This window comes from Homo sapiens, chromosome 6 (genome assembly GCF_000001405.40).
Source record: "Homo sapiens chromosome 6, GRCh38.p14 Primary Assembly".
Taxonomy (NCBI): domain Eukaryota; kingdom Metazoa; phylum Chordata; class Mammalia; order Primates; family Hominidae; genus Homo; species Homo sapiens.
Window position 1 is genome coordinate 21,582,754 of NC_000006.12, and position 17,033 is coordinate 21,599,786.

General features: G+C 45.9%; 1 protein-coding gene across 1 annotated transcript, besides 10 other annotated features; it reads left to right on the forward strand.

Annotated features, from left to right (window-relative positions):
• Window positions 3,854-4,386: an enhancer, noted in NCBI's record as "H3K4me1 hESC enhancer chr6:21586838-21587370 (GRCh37/hg19 assembly coordinates)". NCBI's record gives its function as "activates a minimal SCP1, AML or CMV promoter by ChIP-STARR-seq in naive H9 embryonic stem cells {active_cell/tissue: H9 hESC(naive)}" and the evidence as "EXISTENCE:reporter gene assay evidence [ECO:0000049][PMID:30033119]".
• Window positions 4,382-4,441: a silencer, noted in NCBI's record as "silent region_16982". NCBI's record gives its function as "represses an Ori minimal core promoter by ATAC-STARR-seq in GM12878 lymphoblastoid cells {active_cell/tissue: GM12878}" and the evidence as "EXISTENCE:reporter gene assay evidence [ECO:0000049][PMID:35858748]".
• Window positions 4,582-4,661: a silencer, noted in NCBI's record as "silent region_16983". NCBI's record gives its function as "represses an Ori minimal core promoter by ATAC-STARR-seq in GM12878 lymphoblastoid cells {active_cell/tissue: GM12878}" and the evidence as "EXISTENCE:reporter gene assay evidence [ECO:0000049][PMID:35858748]".
• Window positions 5,027-5,684: an enhancer, noted in NCBI's record as "H3K27ac-H3K4me1 hESC enhancer chr6:21588011-21588668 (GRCh37/hg19 assembly coordinates)". NCBI's record gives its function as "activates a minimal SCP1, AML or CMV promoter by ChIP-STARR-seq in primed H9 embryonic stem cells {active_cell/tissue: H9 hESC(primed)}" and the evidence as "EXISTENCE:reporter gene assay evidence [ECO:0000049][PMID:30033119]".
• Window positions 6,452-6,551: an enhancer, noted in NCBI's record as "active region_24139". NCBI's record gives its function as "activates an Ori minimal core promoter by ATAC-STARR-seq in GM12878 lymphoblastoid cells {active_cell/tissue: GM12878}" and the evidence as "EXISTENCE:reporter gene assay evidence [ECO:0000049][PMID:35858748]".
• Window positions 6,562-6,611: an enhancer, noted in NCBI's record as "active region_24140". NCBI's record gives its function as "activates an Ori minimal core promoter by ATAC-STARR-seq in GM12878 lymphoblastoid cells {active_cell/tissue: GM12878}" and the evidence as "EXISTENCE:reporter gene assay evidence [ECO:0000049][PMID:35858748]".
• On the forward strand, window positions 10,998-15,866 carry SOX4 (SRY-box transcription factor 4). The gene has a single exon (NM_003107.3). The coding sequence runs from the start codon at window positions 11,782-11,784 to the stop codon at window positions 13,204-13,206; it is 1,425 nt and encodes a 474-aa protein (NP_003098.1). The 5' UTR covers window positions 10,998-11,781; the 3' UTR covers window positions 13,207-15,866.
• Window positions 11,609-11,788: a silencer, noted in NCBI's record as "silent region_16984". NCBI's record gives its function as "represses an Ori minimal core promoter by ATAC-STARR-seq in GM12878 lymphoblastoid cells {active_cell/tissue: GM12878}" and the evidence as "EXISTENCE:reporter gene assay evidence [ECO:0000049][PMID:35858748]".
• Window positions 12,559-12,648: a silencer, noted in NCBI's record as "silent region_16985". NCBI's record gives its function as "represses an Ori minimal core promoter by ATAC-STARR-seq in GM12878 lymphoblastoid cells {active_cell/tissue: GM12878}" and the evidence as "EXISTENCE:reporter gene assay evidence [ECO:0000049][PMID:35858748]".
• Window positions 12,699-12,748: a silencer, noted in NCBI's record as "silent region_16986". NCBI's record gives its function as "represses an Ori minimal core promoter by ATAC-STARR-seq in GM12878 lymphoblastoid cells {active_cell/tissue: GM12878}" and the evidence as "EXISTENCE:reporter gene assay evidence [ECO:0000049][PMID:35858748]".
• Window positions 13,559-13,758: an enhancer, noted in NCBI's record as "active region_24141". NCBI's record gives its function as "activates an Ori minimal core promoter by ATAC-STARR-seq in GM12878 lymphoblastoid cells {active_cell/tissue: GM12878}" and the evidence as "EXISTENCE:reporter gene assay evidence [ECO:0000049][PMID:35858748]".

A 17,033-nucleotide genomic window follows, 5' to 3' on the forward strand; every position in this document is an offset into this window, starting at 1 on the left:
CTGCTATACTGCCCTAGCATTCAGTGAGTAATCTGTGAGGAAAACAGCTATTCATTTGATGATCTTGTAGATTCCAATTTGTCCATGCTGACTCAACTGGCAATAAGACAATTCTGTTTTTTCCCTTTAGTACAGTTGCTTGCTCTGTCTATGAAAGCCTGTGTCCAGACTCAGAAAATGCCCCAGGCAAGACAATGGCCAGCAATCTAGGTTCATATAACAAAGACATTTCTCTCTCTAGAATTTATTTCTTCCAGTCTCATATGCATCTATATATCTTTGTTATCTTTAATGTAAAATGTCTTTTTTCTAGTTGTAATTGCTTTCTGTTTTTACTACATTGTACTTAAAAGCGGAAGTATTCACATCTAACGACTTTTTGGAATCTTTAAAAAAGAACAGTATCTATAGTTTCCGTTTTTGGTTATGTCTTTTCCTGGTTTTGTTATTAGGGCGATACTGGATTCATAAAATGATTTAGGGAGGATTCCTTCTTTCTCTGTCTTGTGGAATAGTGTCAGTAGGATTGGTACCAATTCTTTTTTGAATGTCTGGTAGAATTCAGCTGTGAATCCATCTGGTTCTGGACTTTTTTTTGTTGGTAACTTTTTAAATTTCCATTTCAATCTCACTGCTTATTGGACTGGTCAGGGTATCTGATTCTTCCTGATTTAGGCTAGGAGGGTTGTATCTTTCCAGGAATTTATCCATCTCCTCTAGGTTTTCTAGTTTATGTGCGTAAAGGTGTTCATAGTAGCCTTGAATGATCTTTTGTATCTCTGTAGTGTCAGTTGTAATAAATATCTCAATATCTCCCATTTCATTTCTTTTTTTTTTTTTTTTTTTTTTGAGACAGAATCTCACTCTGTTGCCCAGGCTGAAGTGCAGTGGTACAATCTCAGCTCACTCCAACCTCTGCCTCCCAGGTTCAAGCGATTCTCCTGCCTCAGCCTTCTGAGTAGCTGGGATTACAGGCGCATGCCACCATGACTGGCTAATTTTTGTATTTTTAGTAGAGATGAGGTTTTACCATGTTGGCCAGGCTGGTCTCGAACTCCTGAACTCAGGTGATCTGCCTGCCTTGGCCTCCCAAAGCACTGGGATTACAGGCATGAGCCACCGCACCTGGCCCCATTTAATTTCTAATTGAGCTTATTTGGATTTTCTCTCTTCTTTTCTTGGTTAATCTTGCTAACAGTCTATCCATTTTATTCATCTTTTCAAAGAACCCGCTTTTTGTTTCATTTATCTTTTGCATTCTTTGTTTGTTTGTTTCAATTTCTTTTGGTTCTGCTCTGATTTTGGTTATTTCCTTTCTTCTGCTAAGTTTGGGTTTGGTTTGTTCTTGTTTCTCTAGTTCCTTGAGGTGTGACCTTAGATTATCCATCTGTGCTCTTTCAGACTTTTTGATGTAGGCATTTAGGACTATGAAGTTTCCTCTTAGCACTGCTTTTGCTGTTATCTCAGAGGTTTTAATAGATTGTATTACTATTGTCATTCAGTTAGAAGAATTTTTTAATTTCCATCTTGATTTTATTTTTGACCCAGTGATCATTCAGCAGCAGGTTACTTAATTTCCATGTATTTGCATGGCTTTGAAGGTTCCTTTCGGAGTTGATTTCTAGTTTTATTCCACTGTGGTCTGAGAGAGTGCTTGATATAATTTCAATTTTCTTAAATTTATTGAGGCTTGTTTTGTGGCCTATCATATGATCTATCTTAGAGAAAGTTCCATGCACTGATGAATAGAATGAATATTCTGCTGTTGTTGGGTAGAATGTTCTGTAAATATCTGTTAAGTCCGTTTGTTTCAGGGTATAGTTTAAATCCAGTGTTTCCTTGTTGACTTTCTGTCTTGATGACCTGTCTAGTGCTGTCAGTGGAGTACTGAAGTTCCCCAGTATTCTCGTGTTACTTTCTATCTCATTTCTTAGGCCTACTAGTAATTATTTTATAATTTGGGAGTTCAAGTTAGGTGCATATATATATAGAATTGTGATATTTTCTTGTTGGACAAGGTCTTTTATCATTATATAATGTCCCTCATTGTCTTTTTAAACTGCTGTTGTTTTAAAATTTGTTTTGGCCGGGCACAGTGGCTCATGCCTGTAATCCCAGCACTTTGGGAGGCCAACACAGGTAAATCACCTGAGGTCAGGAGTTCAAGACCAGCCTGGCCAACATGGGGAAACCCCGTCTCTACTAAAAATACAAAAATTAGCTAGGTGTGGTGGCAGATGTCTGTAATGCCAGCTACTGGGGAGGCTAAAGCAGGAGAATCACTTGAACTTGGGAGGCGGAGGTTGCAGTGAGCTGAGTTCACACCATTGTACTCCAGCCTGGGCGATAGGAGTGAAAGTCTGTCTCGAAAAATAATAATAAACAAAAAAATAAACTTTGTTTTACCTGATATAAGAATAGATACTCCGCCGCTGGGCGCAGTGGCTTACGCCTGTAATCCCAGCACTTTGGGAGGTCAAGGCAGGTGAATCACCTGAGGTCAGAAGTTCAAGAGCCAGCCTGGCCAACATGGTGAAGCCCCGTCTCTACTAAAAATACAAAAATTAGTCGGGCGTGGTGGTGGGTGCCTGTAACCCCCGCTACTCGGGAGGCTAAGGCAGGAGAATCGCTTGAACCCGCGAGGTGGAGGTTGCAGTGAGCCAAGATCATGCCACTGCACTCCAGCCTGGACGACAGAGTGAGACTCCATCTCAAAAAAAATAAAATAAAAAAAAAAAGAATAGGTACTCCTGCTCGCTTTTGGTGTCTATTTGCATAGAATGTCTTTTTCCATGGGGTTATTCAATTTTAGCTAACTCCCATATACACTATGGGCATTGGTGAAAATACTGACTGAATTTTTAATAAAGATCTAGAGTCATTAAGAAAAAGTTACCTTCCTGCATGAACTTATATTTTGGCATCTATCAAATGGCATTGTAATTAATACAACTCTGACCTCTATTACTGCATAACAAACTACCCAAAGCATAGTGATTTAACGCAACTTATTAGTTCTCATAATTCTGTGGGGTGTCAATCTGAGTGATTCTTCTGTTGTACCCATCTGGAATCGCTCCTGTGGCTGCAGTCATCTGACAAACCAACCAAAACTGGAGAGTCCAAGATGGCCTCAGTCACATGCCTGGGATGCTGGCCTTGGAGGGGCACCTTGGTTTTCCCTATGGGGCCTTCAATCCTCGAGTAAGATCAGCTGCTGAAGGTAGTTCACAACATGATGTTTTCATGGTCTCACTGGAGTAGGTTCACAACACGACGGTTTCAATGGACAAACCCCAGTACATGGGCACTTGTGAAGTCTGTTTGTCTCATGCTTGCTAATGCCCCATTTCCCAAAGCAACTCAGTGACCAAATCCAGAATCAGAGAGAAAAAGGTCCACATAAAAGCACACGTACTAGGAGGACGATTTATTACAAGAATCTACCACATCCACTGTAAATTTAAGAACTCAGAATACAAGTAGCATCCTCATTATTTAGCGTTTGCCTGCCACCCATAGTGCATAATTCACACCTAGGCAGTAGTACTCCTAGGGAGAATTTTTAAATTTTTGGACAACATTTTGGGTGTTCTAGTGAAATACAGCCCTACCATGCATATTTGAAATGTATATTATCTTATTATAAATTACCTACTGTGTATTTCTCCTTTAACATTGTAGTTTGAACATTATGGTTTCTTTTTTAATTTTGTGCATAGTAAGTTACGTAATCCACAGATTTTATTTCAGGAGAGTAAAGTTATATTACAAAATATTTGTTACAATAAGGCAGCGGTTTGGGTCTGATATTTTTGAAATTAATGAGTTAAGTTTGAGTGTTTTAAGTACTAGCCTTCAGTTATTTTTGAATCGTGATAGCCAGATAAAGTGTCACTAAATTATTTTTTTAACTTGGAATGTGGGACAGGAAGGATGGAGTTTCATGCTTCAGGAAGCAGTGAAAAATCACAAAACCTCTGTACTGCTAGACCCAACACTTTTCCAGATCCCCAAACTATCTCTATCACCCTCCTTTCATGGCAAATTTGCATATGCATTATTGTCAGAATTTTGAACTTATTTTACAACCATATACACAGAATTCTTTTCTAGCTTGCTGCTTAACTGAACAGATGGTGCAGTTTCCCAGCCCAGCAGCTGGAGGGGACCGAGGATGCGCTCGGCACACAGTAGGAGCACCATAAACGTTGATTGACTGAGTTCATTGAGGCGGTTGACGCCAGGCCATCCACTCCCACGCGGTACTCTTATCTTTCTCCAGGCCCACACCCCTGGCCCGAGAGGCGGTAGCTGGGAGCAGATGGCGAGTCCCGGGTGCCAGGTGTACTGCACTCCAGGCGCGGTCTGGGGCACTGGGTTCTACGGTCCCTGCCCCACCCCTCCCATCCCTATGAGTTCCCCCAAAGCTGTCTGCGCCAAGTGTGACGTCTGACTACGGCGGGAACATGGGAGGGGAAGGGCTGGAAGAAAGGAGATCGGTTGCCTGGCGAGGGGGCCCGTGCGTCCTACAGTCGCTACCCGCCACGCACGCGTCCCTCTCCTCCTGACCCGCGTCACTTAGCAGCCAATGCGGTCTCCGTGCCTTCCCACTTCCCCGCAATCAAGCGCCTTTCTTCCTCCGCCTCCCCTCTTTCTGTTATCTGACATTTTGCTCTGCTTCCCTCTGCCCACTCCCCAGCGGGATTCCCTCCCTGGCAGACGCGCGCGCCCCAGCCCGCCCTCGCACAACCTCCAATAGCAGGTCAACTGGCTTGTAACGCTGGCTTAGGGTTGCTCTTGAAGTGTTTTTCCAAAAGCGAAATCACCCGCTTTCCCCCACGGGGCTAAAACTGTAATTGCAACAACGGGCTGTTGCGTTGGGGGTGGGAAGCCCGTCGGGCGTGCCCCACCTAGACCGCCTGCTGGGGCCACTGGGGTGGTTTTGCCGCCCCCTCAACCCCTGCCACCCCGGGTCGAGTAGGCAGCTCCACCCGGACGCTTGCGCCAGGGCCTGACTGCCGCGGCTGCCAGCGGAAAGGCAGAGACCAGCTGATCCAAGGAGGACAAAGCGAGCCGAGACCTTCCGCAGAGCTTGGCTTCCTCGTAACTGCGCCCAGGGCGCAGCCTCTCCCTGTTAACTACCTGCCATATGTTCCCTTCTCTCAGACCCGAAACCGCCTCCTACAGGTGCTGGGGACTGAATCTGGAGCTTCGGGCGCGGCCCTTGACAAGGGCGCCTGGCACCCTGGGGCGCCTCCGTGGCCCTCGCAAACTCAGAGAGCCCCCACCGTCCAGTCTTTCCTGCACGAGCGAGGGATCGAGGGAAGGCGCCAATGCACGTCTGTCCCTCCGTGATCCGCGCAGAAGGGACGCTTGAAGACTGGGGTGCAATGAATTGTCGACTTCCCTCAGCTCTCAGCCCTTTTCCTCCCCCCGCGCGCCGTGCACGCGCAGCCTGCTCTGCCCTTCTGAAAGAGACGCTGCAGCTGCGCTCTCAATGGGGCCTCAGCCTGCGGGGTCCGGGGAGGGGATGAAGTGGGTGGTTGCCCAGCCGGTGTACGAAGGTCGTGTGCCTGCCGAAGAGTGGGTCCCACACGCACAGCGCGCGCCGTACCAACCAAGCAAGGCTCACAGAGAGCATTTAGTCGTCCAGAGCAAAGGATGCTGGGCACTCAAGAGAGCAGGGGGCCAAGTGGCTGTCAGTTCTGGTCAGTGACGGAACTGGACAGCATCTCCAAGGGCCAGGGGATGGGGTAGGAGGACGGAGGAGCCAAGCTCCTGGGAAACGACCCCCCCAACCTATCCGCGACCGGTTGCAAATTCAAAGGAGGGCTGGGAGCCCGCGAGGGTGCGGGAGGTGTCCTCGCTTGGGCTGCGTCTGCGCCCGCGTTTGTGTGTGTGTGCGCGCGCGTGTCTTCAGCTCCTTCCCCGGTCGTAAAACCTAAACGGAAGACGGGTGTTAAAATGCTGCTGACAGGATCGCCTGAAACATGTTTACAGTAGGAAGGACTTTCCTCCAGAAAGCACAGTCTGAGTCGATTCCAATTTATTTCCTCCCTGTAACTGTAAGCGAAAGGAGAGGTTCGGCTGCCGCGGCGGAGCGAGGCTGAGCACCATTAATCCTTGGCGAGCTTAAGCCAGGGAGAGCGCCGTGCCTGCGAGACCGAGTCGCTGCGCTCCGGAAGGCGTTCTGCCTGAAGGAAACCTCTTTTTTTTTTTTTTTTTTTTTTTTTTTTTTTGAGTAGGGAGTGGCCTTTGCACTGGAGTCCTTAAGTAAGGCGCGTCGTTTCTCTGCAGCCGCTCTCGGAAGCCGGAGAAACTGCATTCACTTTAGCAAGAAGACAGGGAAACTGAAATTGATAATCCCCCGAGTTGGGTTACCTGATCCAGACAGGAAGCTGGTCTAGGCTTCCCCCGTCACCCGGAGCTCCTGACAAGTGAGCAGGAGGCGGCGGGTGGTTGCCCTAAACTTTGATTTATGAAAAAAAATCAGAATTCATCGACATACCCTGTTACTCGTTGAGCGTTTAAGCCTCTAACTAAAGAAGGTACAGTGGTAGGGAGTGGTAGGGGGGTCGGGAGAGGAGGAAGGGGGAGAAGAAAGAAGACTGACTATCCCCACGATTTCCTACCTCGCCTCGCGGGCGCAGGGAGGCTCAGCGATGCCACCTGGCGGCTGCTTCTCCCCAGATTGGGAGCCGGCTGGCTGCAGACAAACCCAGGCTCTCCCCGGGTGCCGTGCCTCTGCCTCTAGAATAGAAGCAGAAGCCTGTATTCATGCTTGCAATCCAAGTGGCCCTGCAAACATTCGTCTTCTGCTTGTTTTCTTGAGAAAATCGAAGGAAAGGAATAATGAGTTGGCATTGGCATGAACAGCTTAAGCCTACTGTGTGCTAGTCACTGGTTATGAGAGGAAAATGGTACAATTGTTAGAAATGCAGGTTTCTTAACTCTTAGCTTATTCTAGTGATAAAAATAAATGCTAGGTTTCATTTACCCCAGAATCCTATTTTGATATTTTGCAAATATGAGTTATTTCCATATATTATTTTTCAATGCACGCACCCCCACCCCCATTACGCGCTGAGCCCAGTTACAATGCAATGTCATCAGCCCAAAAGGATGAAGTGCAAGTTATGTTTGTCTACTTGACTGAGAAGTAAATCAGCCTCACATGGAGGCTTCTTTTCCATAAAGTGTGGAACCAAAAAAACTGGCGCCTTTCAGTTGACAAAGGCCAATGACATCAGATTTCCCAGGGCTTCTTCCTTGTCAGGTAAAGTAACAACTACACAGTTTTTCCTCCTCTTTATTTTATTTGAACTGAATACTTGTCAGGTCTGACTAGCGCCTACAATCATAGTTTCTATAACCAAGGCAAGGCAAAATCTTGCAAATCAGTGCAAATCCAGATTTGTTAAACTAATTTCCATTCAGGTCCCTCCCTCCATGCCAAAGGAATATATTAAGCAGTGGAATAGAATCTTATTTCATCTATGCCCCATACCATTGTATGGATGTGAGATTTTATGTTGTGTAGATGTGTGAGAGCAGAAGAAATGCATTAGCAGATATTACACTTACATCTCAAATGGAATTCCATCATTTAAGGGAATAAAATAAAATACCTAATTCAAAATTGGAAATGTCTAACATCATTGCTAACAAAGACAGTTTATTATTCTAAACCAGGATTTTTTTTTTCTGCAAAATTATCTTGGCTTTCTCTTAATACAGCTAAAAGACTAGCATTAAGAATTACTTCATGTACTGCAAAGCCAGCAGAGGGAACACTGCGTACTGATTTAGTAGGGGCCACCAAATATCTGGTATTTGGGGAAAAAAATGTCAGTAATGGAGAACTGATTACAGAGCATATGAAGTTAGGGAATGAGAAGGGAGAAATCTTTTCTCATTATTTGGTATTGAGAGGTCCAACACATTCCAGTGTGCACACACTTAGTTGGTCACAAAGATGACTTTAATAAAAGGGCATTCGTCATATGTTTTCTTACATTCTAAGAGAACTAACCCATTAGAACAGATCTATTTCAGAAGTCTAGGCACTTGTGTAATATATAAATATATATGCAGTAATTATAAAGTCAATGGAAGTTACTGATACCATATTTCATCAAGTCTAAGAGGAAATTTTTCTTTTCATTTCAACTCTTCCTGAAATAAGGAGGCATCCTACATCTAGGGGGATATCACAGTTTCATTGGCAGCTTTCTTCCTTGGTGGAATGTAATATAATGGTGTGTCTTAAAATTTGTTGGATTTGTTGAAATACAGAAAATACATGTAACAAAAGAATGAGGCCAGTGGCTGTGTTTTAGTACACCCTTTAAAAAATCCATGTGTTTTAAGCAGAAACATATATGACTGCTTTAACTTCCACTCTTCCCTATCATATTCGATGATGGAAGCATAAATGACTGAGAAATATAATCAATAATGTTGATACTCAACTTGACTGAATTATCAAACTAGCTACACCCTCAAATCATTAGTTAGTACAAATTCAAAAATAAATATTCTTTTTTATTCTAGTGAAAATATTGATCTTATAGATAATAGCCCTCTTAAAATAATTTTTTTTTGTCAGATTGGTAACATTTAAGGATGTGTTTCTATGCACACCAGAGAAAATGTAGTATATAACACAGCAACACTGTTATGCAAAAAAGGTGCCTGTGTGTTTTTGGTTTGGGTTTTTCTTTTTTTAAGGATTTGTTTCTCCTTTTTTAAAAAAATTATGTAATACAAGTAGCTAATCGTCAAAAATTATTTGCTTTTACCCACAAAAACAGTTTTGCTTGTGGTTGATCCTTACAGATCCAGTCAGATGGCTACATAGGGTGTTCTTTCCAGTAAAATTCTAAGTCTGACAACCTGGGCCTATTGCCAGCCTACATACTTTAAAAGTTTGACAAGATACATAGAAATTTACTACCCAGCACTAGTTTAATCTGAATCAAAAGCCGACTTAATTATTTTGGATTGACTTTACCTAACCACTTATGGTTAGCCTGAAGAATATTAGTTTCCTATTATAGTGTTAAGGAAAGCTGATTTTTACTACAATTCTAATTTTCAGACACTGGAAAACAAGTAATTTCTGTAGCCAACGTTTATTTTGAATACCTTGGCATCCTTTCTTTGCCACATTCTTCTTAGTATTCTTCATGGAGTTCCTTTCTTTTAAAATCAATGGAATGGCAGGGTTGCCACTATTGTCCTTCTATGGTTCACATCAATGATCTGTGATTACTTTTTTTTTTTTTTTGAGATAGTCACACGCTATCACCCACACTGGAGTGCAGTGGCTCAATCTTAGCTCACTGCAACCTCCTGGGTTCAAGCAATTCTCCCGCCTTAGCTTCTCGAGTAGCTGGAATTACAGGCGCATGCATCCCTGCCCAGCTAATTTTTTAATTTTTTAATTTTTAGTAGAGACAGGGTTTCACCATGTTGACCAGGCTGGTCTCGAACTCCTGACCTGAAGTGATCCACCCACCTTAGCCTCCCAAAGTGCTGGGATTACAGGCGTGAGCCACCGCGTCCTGCCTGTTATTACTTTTTTACATAAGTGGCTATTCTGTTTTAGCCTCTTGAACAACATGCAGCTTTTACTAGGAGTGTGTCTGGCATTTGAATTAGAAAGGAAGATATTAGTATTCATTGAGGGCTTACAATACATCAGGTGCTTCATAGTCACAAATTCATTGAACCCTCACAACAACCCTCTATAAAGTAGCTCCTAGTGTTCCCATATAATAGATGAGGAAAACTGAGACTTGGCCACATCCCCATAGTTACAAACCATTAAGAAGGATTAGCAGCCAGGTCTACTATGAATCCGGAGGCCCCATTCTCTTCTGCTACCAGTTATCACCTCCTTCTACAGTTTCTCTTTGCCTTGGTTTTTCAGTTCCCTTCGATTCAAGTAACAAGAGGAAATATATAAGAAGGAAAGGAGGAAGATGGCTTTGGGAGGAGGAGAGGGAAGAGAGTGAAGCAATCTTTAATTTTGAAAACAGGGAAAACAAATATTTAGAAAGTAAAACCGATTTCCATCCTTTACATGCCATTATACATCCTATACAAAACTCTGGAAATCTGCCTATTGAGGTAATTACGGAGCACTACCTAATGTGTTTCAAGGGAAAGCTCCCCTGTTTGGGCTATGCAGGATTTACAGGGAGTTTAAATCATTAAATAACCATAGTTGACCCTTGCTTGGTTAAGAGAGTAAGCAATTATTGCAAAGTCCTCTTCCCTGCCTTCCACAAACAGCACAAAAACGGTTCTGAAGGGATTTACACAATACATCAACATCTGTGCTGTACCTAGAGTTGTTAAAATAATTGTGATGACAGGTGTCTAGGTACCACTTTCTTAATGGTTTTCAATATCCATTGATTTATTGTTTTGTGGCTTTCTCTTCCCCTTTACAGCTTTGGCTTTAAGAAAGAGCTGGGGAACAGATTTTGCACCAGAGGCTGATTCTTTATTCCAATGCTGAAAAGAACTAATAAAAATAATCACTTGGCTTTTAAGCAGAAAGCTTCCATTTACAGTATTTCACCCTTACCCCGCCCCGTTCCAAGCCCCTTGTTATCTAACATAATGGTTAGAATACATTTCCGTCTCTCCCCTTAATAATTTCATGCATTAACATCCTCTTCACACACTATACACACACGCACGCGCGCACACACACGCGCGCGCACACACACAGCAAAAGGAAAAAAGAGGCAGCAGAAATCTCAGCTGTACTTCTAGCCCTTTTAAAAAGTTTGCTCTGTAAATTGGAATGAGGTCAGATTTGGAGCTTCTCATTGCACGCGGAGATTATTATTGCATCGGGTTCCAAGCCAATGGGAAGCCCGGGGGAGGGGTTTGGCATGAGGAAGCGTTGGTTACAGCAGCTGATTGGCTGCAGCCAAGACTGTGAAAGGATAAAGAGGCGCGAGGCGGAATTGGGGTCTGCTCTAAGCTGCAGCAAGAGAAACTGTGTGTGAGGGGAAGAGGCCTGTTTCGCTGTCGGGTCTCTAGTTCTTGCACGCTCTTTAAGAGTCTGCACTGGAGGAACTCCTGCCATTACCAGCTCCCTTCTTGCAGAAGGGAGGGGGAAACATACATTTATTCATGCCAGTCTGTTGCATGCAGGCTTTTTGGCTTCCTACCTTGCAACAAAATAATTGCACCAACTCCTTAGTGCCGATTCCGCCCACAGAGAGTCCTGGAGCCACAGTCTTTTTTGCTTTGCATTGTAGGAGAGGGACTAAGTGCTAGAGACTATGTCGCTTTCCTGAGCTACCGAGAGCGCTCGTGAACTGGAATCAACTGCTTCAGGGAAAAAGAAAAAAAAAAAAAAAAGACTTGCCTGGGAGGCCGCGAGAAACTTGCATTGGAAGCTTCAGCAACCAGCATTCGAGAAACTCCTCTCTACTTTAGCACGGTCTCCAGACTCAGCCGAGAGACAGCAAACTGCAGCGCGGTGAGAGAGCGAGAGAGAGGGAGAGAGAGACTCTCCAGCCTGGGAACTATAACTCCTCTGCGAGAGGCGGAGAACTCCTTCCCCAAATCTTTTGGGGACTTTTCTCTCTTTACCCACCTCCGCCCCTGCGAGGAGTTGAGGGGCCAGTTCGGCCGCCGCGCGCGTCTTCCCGTTCGGCGTGTGCTTGGCCCGGGGAACCGGGAGGGCCCGGCGATCGCGCGGCGGCCGCCGCGAGGGTGTGAGCGCGCGTGGGCGCCCGCCGAGCCGAGGCCATGGTGCAGCAAACCAACAATGCCGAGAACACGGAAGCGCTGCTGGCCGGCGAGAGCTCGGACTCGGGCGCCGGCCTCGAGCTGGGAATCGCCTCCTCCCCCACGCCCGGCTCCACCGCCTCCACGGGCGGCAAGGCCGACGACCCGAGCTGGTGCAAGACCCCGAGTGGGCACATCAAGCGACCCATGAACGCCTTCATGGTGTGGTCGCAGATCGAGCGGCGCAAGATCATGGAGCAGTCGCCCGACATGCACAACGCCGAGATCTCCAAGCGGCTGGGCAAACGCTGGAAGCTGCTCAAAGACAGCGACAAGATCCCTTTCATTCGAGAGGCGGAGCGGCTGCGCCTCAAGCACATGGCTGACTACCCCGACTACAAGTACCGGCCCAGGAAGAAGGTGAAGTCCGGCAACGCCAACTCCAGCTCCTCGGCCGCCGCCTCCTCCAAGCCGGGGGAGAAGGGAGACAAGGTCGGTGGCAGTGGCGGGGGCGGCCATGGGGGCGGCGGCGGCGGCGGGAGCAGCAACGCGGGGGGAGGAGGCGGCGGTGCGAGTGGCGGCGGCGCCAACTCCAAACCGGCGCAGAAAAAGAGCTGCGGCTCCAAAGTGGCGGGCGGCGCGGGCGGTGGGGTTAGCAAACCGCACGCCAAGCTCATCCTGGCAGGCGGCGGCGGCGGCGGGAAAGCAGCGGCTGCCGCCGCCGCCTCCTTCGCCGCCGAACAGGCGGGGGCCGCCGCCCTGCTGCCCCTGGGCGCCGCCGCCGACCACCACTCGCTGTACAAGGCGCGGACTCCCAGCGCCTCGGCCTCCGCCTCCTCGGCAGCCTCGGCCTCCGCAGCGCTCGCGGCCCCGGGCAAGCACCTGGCGGAGAAGAAGGTGAAGCGCGTCTACCTGTTCGGCGGCCTGGGCACGTCGTCGTCGCCCGTGGGCGGCGTGGGCGCGGGAGCCGACCCCAGCGACCCCCTGGGCCTGTACGAGGAGGAGGGCGCGGGCTGCTCGCCCGACGCGCCCAGCCTGAGCGGCCGCAGCAGCGCCGCCTCGTCCCCCGCCGCCGGCCGCTCGCCCGCCGACCACCGCGGCTACGCCAGCCTGCGCGCCGCCTCGCCCGCCCCGTCCAGCGCGCCCTCGCACGCGTCCTCCTCGGCCTCGTCCCACTCCTCCTCTTCCTCCTCCTCGGGCTCCTCGTCCTCCGACGACGAGTTCGAAGACGACCTGCTCGACCTGAACCCCAGCTCAAACTTTGAGAGCATGTCCCTGGGCAGCTTCAGTTCGTCGTCGGCGCTCGACCGGGACCTGGATTTTAACTTCGAGCCCGGCTCCGGCTCGCACTTCGAGTTCCCGGACTACTGCACGCCCGAGGTGAGCGAGATGATCTCGGGAGACTGGCTCGAGTCCAGCATCTCCAACCTGGTTTTCACCTACTGAAGGGCGCGCAGGCAGGGAGAAGGGCCGGGGGGGGTAGGAGAGGAGAAAAAAAAAGTGAAAAAAAGAAACGAAAAGGACAGACGAAGAGTTTAAAGAGAAAAGGGAAAAAAGAAAGAAAAAGTAAGCAGGGCTGGCTTCGCCCGCGTTCTCGTCGTCGGATCAAGGAGCGCGGCGGCGTTTTGGACCCGCGCTCCCATCCCCCACCTTCCCGGGCCGGGGACCCACTCTGCCCAGCCGGAGGGACGCGGAGGAGGAAGAGGGTAGACAGGGGCGACCTGTGATTGTTGTTATTGATGTTGTTGTTGATGGCAAAAAAAAAAAAGCGACTTCGAGTTTGCTCCCCTTTGCTTGAAGAGACCCCCTCCCCCTTCCAACGAGCTTCCGGACTTGTCTGCACCCCCAGCAAGAAGGCGAGTTAGTTTTCTAGAGACTTGAAGGAGTCTCCCCCTTCCTGCATCACCACCTTGGTTTTGTTTTATTTTGCTTCTTGGTCAAGAAAGGAGGGGAGAACCCAGCGCACCCCTCCCCCCCTTTTTTTAAACGCGTGATGAAGACAGAAGGCTCCGGGGTGACGAATTTGGCCGATGGCAGATGTTTTGGGGGAACGCCGGGACTGAGAGACTCCACGCAGGCGAATTCCCGTTTGGGGCTTTTTTTTCCTCCCTCTTTTCCCCTTGCCCCCTCTGCAGCCGGAGGAGGAGATGTTGAGGGGAGGAGGCCAGCCAGTGTGACCGGCGCTAGGAAATGACCCGAGAACCCCGTTGGAAGCGCAGCAGCGGGAGCTAGGGGCGGGGGCGGAGGAGGACACGAACTGGAAGGGGGTTCACGGTCAAACTGAAATGGATTTGCACGTTGGGGAGCTGGCGGCGGCGGCTGCTGGGCCTCCGCCTTCTTTTCTACGTGAAATCAGTGAGGTGAGACTTCCCAGACCCCGGAGGCGTGGAGGAGAGGAGACTGTTTGATGTGGTACAGGGGCAGTCAGTGGAGGGCGAGTGGTTTCGGAAAAAAAAAAAGAAAAAAAGAAAAAAAAAGAAAAAAAAAAGATTTTTTTCTTCTCTTAATCGGAATCGTGATGGTGTTGGATTATTTCAATGGTGGGGTTAATATAGCATGTTATCCTGTCTATCTTTTAAAGATTTCTGTATAAGACTGTTGAGCAGTTTTTAAAATAGTGTAGGATAATATAAAAAGCAGATAGATGGCGCTATGTTTGATTCCTACAACGAAATTATCACCAGCTTTTTTTCATTCTTAACTCTTTAAAGGATTCAAACGCAACTCAAATCTGTGCTGGACTTTAAAAAAACAATTCAGGACCAAATTTTTTCTCAGTGTGTGTGTTTATTCCTTATAGGTGTAAATGAGAAGACGTGTTTTTTTCCTTCACCGATGCTCCATCCTCGTATTTCTTTTTCCTTGTAAATGTAATCAGATGCCATTTTATATGTGGACGTATTTATACTGGCCAAACATATTTTTTCTTTTGTCCCTTTTTTTCTTTCCTTTCTTTTTACTTCCTTTATTTCTTTATTCCTTCCTTTTCCTTTTTTTCTTTTTTTTTTCTTTTTTTTTTTTTTTTTTTGGTAGTTGTTGTTACCCACGCCATTTTACGTCTCCTTCACTGAAGGGCTAGAGTTTTAACTTTTAATTTTTTATATTTAAATGTAGACTTTTGACACTTTTAAAAAACAAAAAAAGACAAGAGAGATGAAAACGTTTGATTATTTTCTCAGTGTATTTTTGTAAAAAATATATAAAGGGGGTGTTAATCGGTGTAAATCGCTGTTTGGATTTCCTGATTTTATAACAGGGCGGCTGGTTAATATCTCACACAGTTTAAAAAATCAGCCCCTAATTTCTCCATGTTTACACTTCAATCTGCAGGCTTCTTAAAGTGACAGTATCCCTTAACCTGCCACCAGTGTCCACCCTCCGGCCCCCGTCTTGTAAAAAGGGGAGGAGAATTAGCCAAACACTGTAAGCTTTTAAGAAAAACAAAGTTTTAAACGAAATACTGCTCTGTCCAGAGGCTTTAAAACTGGTGCAATTACAGCAAAAAGGGATTCTGTAGCTTTAACTTGTAAACCACATCTTTTTTGCACTTTTTTTATAAGCAAAAACGTGCCGTTTAAACCACTGGATCTATCTAAATGCCGATTTGAGTTCGCGACACTATGTACTGCGTTTTTCATTCTTGTATTTGACTATTTAATCCTTTCTACTTGTCGCTAAATATAATTGTTTTAGTCTTATGGCATGATGATAGCATATGTGTTCAGGTTTATAGCTGTTGTGTTTAAAAATTGAAAAAAGTGGAAAACATCTTTGTACATTTAAGTCTGTATTATAATAAGCAAAAAGATTGTGTGTATGTATGTTTAATATAACATGACAGGCACTAGGACGTCTGCCTTTTTAAGGCAGTTCCGTTAAGGGTTTTTGTTTTTAAACTTTTTTTTGCCATCCATCCTGTGCAATATGCCGTGTAGAATATTTGTCTTAAAATTCAAGGCCACAAAAACAATGTTTGGGGGAAAAAAAAGAAAAAATCATGCCAGCTAATCATGTCAAGTTCACTGCCTGTCAGATTGTTGATATATACCTTCTGTAAATAACTTTTTTTGAGAAGGAAATAAAATCAGCTGGAACTGAACCCTAAATCTTGACTTTTGTCGTTATTATGCCCAATGCCTAAGATTGGAAAGGCCCTACAGTATCTGGACACTACACAATCTGCCTTAGCTTTAAAAAAATAAGTTCTCAGAGGAGTCTTGTCAAATGCTACCTTATCGAGGAACATTAAATGTCTCTTGGCCAGATTTCCTCTGACCCTGAAAATGATGGCATCAGCTGAATATGTGTCAACTCAACACATGCTTTCTAGGAATTTTCTGAGTTTACCATATTTAAAAACGCCCTTTGTCTTGGAATCTGAAAGAGGGGGAGGGGCAACGTGGACAGAATTCTTCACAGATGAAACTGGCTAGATGATCTTTTTTTCAAGTTGGTGCTCCTGGAGCTGCTTTCTCCTTGATTTGCCCATGCTTACCTCCAGCAGTGGCTGTAATTGGTTTTCGTGGGTTAAGGACAAATAAACTGTTATTATCAGTAGATTATACAGGAGGAGGCTTTTACCGATTATGAAATGCAAAACGTATGCATTTATGCATTTTTTTTCTCAAGCAGAAAGGTTGATGTGCTACAATCTTCATTTTTTGCCATGCCCAACATGGTGTTAATGTAAGAGAACTGCAGCAATAAGGATGACCTGGAGAAGCTGGCTGCATGTGGGCTCAGAGGAAAGCCCCCTCTCCAAATAGCACTTACTTTGGCTGCTGGAGATTTGTGCTTTTTCTAAGAATCAGGAAGGATTGTTGAGACTGCAAGGTGAAAAAGTACTTGGATTTCTTAAGGCCCATTACTCTTGGGTTTGGAACATACAACTTGCTAAGTGGCACTATTTCCTGTTTATTTTGAGAGTTAACAATTGCTATTAACTAACAAAAGCCATCTTCCAAATGTTAATTAAAAATGTGTCTTTTACTTGTCTTGAGTTTTTCAGCACTGGAGAGGAGGGGTTAACAAGCAGAAGTGTTTGGAAATTATCCCTTAGTCATTTGGATTGCTTGTAGATAAGGGAGTAGTATCCTGGAAGGTACATCTGGAAAAAGAGACCTTTTGAAGACTAGTCTAACAGGAGGGGGTTTTGTGGTTGTCCAACGAAAAGCAATAATGCACCCCCAAAAACCAGTATAACTTGTGTTTCAATATAATTTATCTCTTAAAGATAGCTACTAGTTTTCAACATTTTTTTCATGTGTGGTGCT